This window comes from Homo sapiens, chromosome 19, assembly GCF_000001405.40.
Source record: "Homo sapiens chromosome 19, GRCh38.p14 Primary Assembly".
Classification (NCBI taxonomy): Eukaryota; Metazoa; Chordata; class Mammalia; order Primates; family Hominidae; genus Homo; species Homo sapiens.
The window spans coordinates 29,786,903-29,792,832 of NC_000019.10; the positions used below are offsets into that span (position 1 = coordinate 29,786,903).

The 5,930-nt window shown below is 50.1% G+C and overlaps 1 annotated feature.

The window, feature by feature from the left end:
- Positions 5,447 to 5,647: a silencer, noted in NCBI's record as "fragment chr19:30283256-30283456 (GRCh37/hg19 assembly coordinates)". NCBI's record gives its function as "represses an EF-1alpha promoter that drives an FKBP-Casp9 reporter gene in an ReSE screen in K562 erythroleukemia cells {active_cell/tissue: K562}" and the evidence as "EXISTENCE:reporter gene assay evidence [ECO:0000049][PMID:32094911]".

The following is a 5,930-nucleotide window of genomic DNA, read 5'->3' on the forward strand; positions in this document are numbered from 1 at the left end:
GTGATCCGCTTATGTTTTAGGAAGACCCCTCTTGGCTGCTGCAGCAAGAATGGACAGTGCTGAGACAAGGAAGGAGGTGGGATAAGAGCAAGGCATCAGGACCCTCCTATGAGACCAGCTTGGGCAACATGGTGAGACCTTGCTACAAAAAATAAAAATTGGCTGGATGTGGTGGTGTGCGCCTTTAGTCCCAGCTGCTCAGGAGGCTGAGGTGGGAGGATCGCTTCAGCCCAAAAGGTAGAAGCTGCAGTGAGCCATGACAGTGCAGCCTTGTCTCAAAAAATAATAATAATAAAGATTGCAAAGGGAGAAATAGGAAAGATACGATTTTTTTTTTTATTTTAAGCCCAGAATAATTCTGACCAAATCAATAAAGAGGACTCGGGTCATGCCCCCCAGGAGAACCCTGTGTATTTGCTAGCATCAGAAGTCATGGACCAGATCACCTGGACCTCAGAGCAACAGGACACTAAGTCAGTGTCTGAGGGAGGGTGGATATACGCCATGGCATCCAGAAGAGAGGAGGGAGGACAGCTCCCTGGAGGAGGTGGCATTTGAGCTGGCCCTAAATCTAATGTTGACAGAAGAATGTGGACAGATGCACACGTCAGGAAAGACAACAGCAGAAGAAAGGGGAGGAGGTGAGAGTCCCCAGAGTCATCTGGCTCCCAAGAAGCACAGGGTGGGTGCAGGGGTGGGTTAGGGACTCGGGATCCTGCCAGGGTAAACATCTGCCCTCTCTAGCCTCACCTGGTCACAGGGAGCAAACACTCAAACCCCGCAGCCCTGGAGCAGCCCAGGAAGGCAGCCTAGCTCTGAATCAGGCGTTGTGCAGAGAGAAAGGGTTTGACTGCGGTCTGAACAAGCTCTGAGTCTGCAACAGCCCCAGCCTCCTTGGGCCAGTGGAGCCCTTGGCCTTCCAGGCTGGGCCCACCGGCTGCTTCAGCCTGGCCTGGCCGCTTCCAGGGACACGAGGTCCCCCATGGCATTGGCACCTCCTTGGTAAATAGCAGATGGGCAGCAAAGCCCCAAGTGGGAAATAGCTCTAGGAATGGAGGCTTCTGTGGGTCCTTTGCTCTTGGAAACACCTCCTTCCTGCCACCTTCCCCAGTGCCACACGTGGCACCTTGCAGGGCCAGCCAGGAAGTCTCAGCACCCAGTTAGGCCAGCCCAGCAGCCCTGGCCCAGTGTCCAGCACTAGCTTTTTGAGCAACTTTTACCTCTCTGAGGACTTAGTTTCCCCAACTTAACAGACTGCCCTGGTGCCTCCTGGGGATGTTTTTGGACACTGAGTAAAATGGTGATAGAAGACTACAGGGACAGCCGGGTACAGTGGCTCACACATGTAATCCCAGTACTTTGGGGGGCTGAGGTGGGAGGATTGCTTCCACCCAGGAGTTCAAGATGAGCCTGGACAACATAGAAAGACCCATTCTCTACAAAAAAATAAAATAAAATGATTAGTCAGGGACAGTGGTGTGTGTGCCATTCATGTCATTCAGGAGACTGAGGCAGGAGGATGACAAGCTCAGGAGTTTGAGGCTGCAATGAGCTGTGAACGCACCACTGCACTCCAGCCTGGGTGATAGAGTGAGACCCTGTTTCAAAAAAGAAAAAAGCAAGTAAGGACCTGACAACAACCTGACCAGCTGCACGTTACAAAGGGCAGATACAAAGATAAGAAACGAGGGCCAACTACGGCAGCATTTGCATCCTTCTCCATGGTCTGGGGCCAGGGGAGGCACAGACCTGTGGGGGTGAAGCTGCAGAGGGGAGGGCCAGCTGGGCTCAGGTGTAAGACTCCATTAGGCGAAACTGAAAAGAACTGCAACAGGCCAGGTGCAGTGGCTCACGCCTGTAATCCCAGCACTTTGGGAGGCTGAGGTGGGTGGATTACCTGAGGTCAGGAGTTCAAGACCAGCCTGGCCAACATGGCGAAACCCCGTCTCTACTAAAAATACAAAAATTAGCCAGGCATGGTGGCACATGCCTGTAATCCCAGCTACTTGGGAGGCTGAGGCAAGAGAATCACTTGCACCCAGGAGGTGGAGGTTGCAGTGAGCCGAGATCGCGCCATTGCACTCCAGCCTGGACAACAAAAAAAAAGAAGTACCCTGTGACCCAGCAAATCCACTCCTAGGTATAGACCCAAGACATAAGTCCACACGATCACTTGTACCTAAACATTGACAGCAGCATTCATAAACATTCATAGAAGCCAAAACATGGAAACACTCAAGTGTCCATCAGTGGACAAACGGATGAACAAAATGTGGTATATCCAAACCACAGAGTATTACTCAATCATGAAAAGGAATGCAGTACTGGGGCATGCTGCAACACGGATGAACCCTGAAAACATTGCACTAAGTGAAAGAAGCCAGTCACAGAAGCCCACATATGACATGATTCCATTCATGTCAAAGTCCAGAATAGGAAAATCTAAAGAGACAGAAAGTAGATTGGTGGTTGCCTAGGGCAGAGGAGGTGGGTATAGATGATACCTAAAGGGTTTCCTCTTGAGGTGGTGAAAATGTTCTGAAGTTGATTGTAGTGATGGTTGCACATATCTGTAAATATACTGAAAACTGTTCATATATATAATATATATATATATATACACACACACACAAATAAATCGATAATAAAATCATTTTAAATGGGTACACTGTATGGTATGTGAATGATAGCTCAATAAAGCTCTTTTAAAAGAAAGCCTGCAAACCACTGGATGAATCCAGAATGGGCAATGTCCTACGAGACAACTGGCCTGAAATTGTCTAAAAGCCTCATGGGGGGTGAGTGCGGTGGTCACGCCTGTAATCCCAGCACTTTGGGAGGCTAAGGCGGGCGGATCACTTGAGGTCAGGAGTTCGAGACCAGCCTGGGAAACACAGTGAAACCCCTTCTCTGCTAAATATACAAAAGTTAGCCAAGTGTGGTGGCGGGTGCCTATAATCCCAGCTACTCGGAAGGCTGAGGCATTAGAATCTCTTGAACCCAGGAGGCGGAGGTTACAGTAAGCTGAGATCTCGCCACTATACTCCAGCCTGGGTGACACAGCAAGACTCCATTTCAAGAAAAAAAAAAAAAAGCCTCATGGGCCTCACAGGAAGGAAAGGAGAGGGGTTGGGTGTGTTCTATATGAAAATAAACTAAAGAATAAACACAGCAACCAAGGACTATTGGATCCTGGTCAAAAAAAAATTCTGAGGACAGTTGGGGAAATTTGGCATGGATTGGATATTAAATGATACTATTGGATAATTGTTAACATTCTTAGGTGCAGAAGTGCTACTGTGTTTACTGAGGAGGACATCCTTATTCTTAAGGGATAACTATAGAGGTAATAATTTAGACATGAAGCATCATGATGTCAGCAACTGCACAGCAAAAAGTGTGTGTGTGTAGAGAATGAATGAGAAAAAGCAAGTATAGCAAAATAGTACCAACCAGTGATTCTGCGTAGATGTTAACAGGTACTCATTATACTGTTTTTTGTTTGTTTGTTTTTCTTGAAACAGAGTCTTGCTCTGTTGCCCAGGCTGGAGTGCAGTATCGAAATCTCGGCTCACTGCAACCTCTGTCTCCTGGGCTCAAGTGATTCTCCTGCCTCAGGCCCCCAAGTAGATGGGATGACAGGTATGTGCCACCAAACCTGGCTAATTTTTGTATTTTTTAGTAGAGACAAGGTTTCTCCATGTTGGCCAGGCTAGTCTCGAACTACTGGACTCAAGCAATCCACCAGCCTCGGCCTCCCAAAGTGCTGGAATTATAGGCATGAGCCACCACACCTGGCCTCATTATACTGTTCTTTTGATGTTTTGATATATGTAATATATAAAAGTCAGAGAAGAGATGTCATTTTTGCCTTTGTCTTATGTCTCAGGACCTTGAATGTCCCGGATTTGCCAAGTTGATTTTATTCCAAACTGCACTGAATCTAGCCACTTTGTACCATGCCCTGCCACATTCCGGCCCTGGCACCATCCTCCCCCTGCATGACTGTAGGCACCTCCATCACTGGGTTCCCCCAAAAATCTGTTCTTCAATTGACAGCTCAAGGAGTCTTTCCAAGACGCACATAGAATTGTCTCTCCCTGTGGCCCTGATAATGAAGGAAGAGGCCGGGCACAGTGGCTCACGCCTGTAATCCCAGCACTTTGGGAGGCTGAGATGACAGGATCACTTGAGGCCAGGAGTTGGAGACCAGCCTGGGCAACATAGCCAGACCCCATCTCTACAAAAAATTTAAAAATTAGCCAGGCATGGTGGGGTGCACCTGTGGTCCCAGCTACTCAGGAGACCTAGATGGGAAAATCACTTGAGCCCAGGAAGTCAAAGTTGCAATGAGCTATGATTTCACCAGTGCACTCCAACCTGGGTGACAGAGTGAAACTCTCTTCCTAAGAGAGAGAGAGTGAGAGAGAGAGAGCAAAGGAAGTCCTCACAGTGGCCCCCTCGGCCACCTCCTGGATCCTCCAGTGAGTTTTGGTTATCCACCCCAGGGCCTTGTTCATGCTCTTCCTTCCTTTAAACCCTTCTATTCCCTGTCAACGCCTTCTCATCTCTTATGTCTCAACTCAAGCCTCACTGCTCAGAGGAGCCTCCTCGACCCCCTCCTCCTCCCTCACAGTCCATCAGGTTCTAAAGACCTCTGTTCCTTCTTCCAACCGCGTCCTGGCTGGTGGCCTTGAGGACTGCTGGGGTCTCGCTGCGGCTGTGTCTGGAGCTGAAGCGAGATGGCCTGACATCAGTTTCCGTTGTTGAGGATGGTGTGTGAATCACATCTTGCGCTAGAGAATGGTGCGTCTAAGGCTCAGCACACAGCGATACCTCGGGAAATGTTTGCTGTTATGCGACTCAATACCTGGCCTTTGGTGTGGTCGTTTGTCTGGCGTCTCCCTGCCCCACCAGCCTGTGGACTCCATGAGGGCAGGGCAGCCTGGGGTTCCCTGCTCATTCTGGCCCTGAGCACACTGGAGAGACAGGCAGTGCACATTTTTAAGGAAAATGAAAGACATGGAGTTGGATGAACATAGGGCTGTCTCTGTGTTCAGGGGGCCGGCATGACGGTGCAGGAGCAGTGGTCTTTGTCCCTTTAGCTGTTGCCATGTAAATGGGGTTCCCATGGAGTCTCAGACCCACCTGGCTATGGTCTGCAACCTTTGGCTGTTCTTGCTTAAGGAACAGGAAGATGTGACTTTAGCATGACCCAAACTGCAGGTTTACACGTTGGTCATGTCTGAGTTAATGAAGGGTGGTAGACACAGATATGACCCCCAGGGCCCACCTGCAGGAAGCCCACTGCCATAGCCTCCAGCTGTAGCCCTTCTGGGCCTGCCTCCACTGCAGACAGCTGCCTCGCCACAGTCACATCCTGCAAGGTGGCCCCACGCTGTGACTGATGAAGGCGGAGGTCTAAAGGTCATACCACTTTGGCCCAACACAGGACAGCGGTGGTGGCTACTCCAGCCCTAGAACGCCCTCCTGCTTCTCACCCCTGCTGATCCCAGGTGTTGACCCCTAGGACACTCTACCACTCATCCTGCACACTGAACTCTGCTTTCCGGAGACCCCAAATTGCAGCTTGGGGTGTGCCTCCATTCCAGGAGGAGGCAAAGAAGCTCTCGCTCCTAAAGCAGAAAGTTCCACAGCTTCTAGGTATGCATGAACGCATGTCCTTGATGGTGAGGACAGGGCCCAGCCTTCATATGCCACTTACAATGCAGAATGGCCAGCTGAGCCCTGGGAAGGACGGCTAGGACCCCAAGTTTTTTTCCTGTCTATGGAAAAGCGTTCCTCCCAGGGTGCCCCTTGTCACTGGTGGCCCTAGATGGTGACTTCCCCTCCCTGGACTTCCACCTGGCAGAATGATGCCGACATACTCAAGACCACAGAAGTGGGCTGGGTGCAGTGGCTCACTCCTG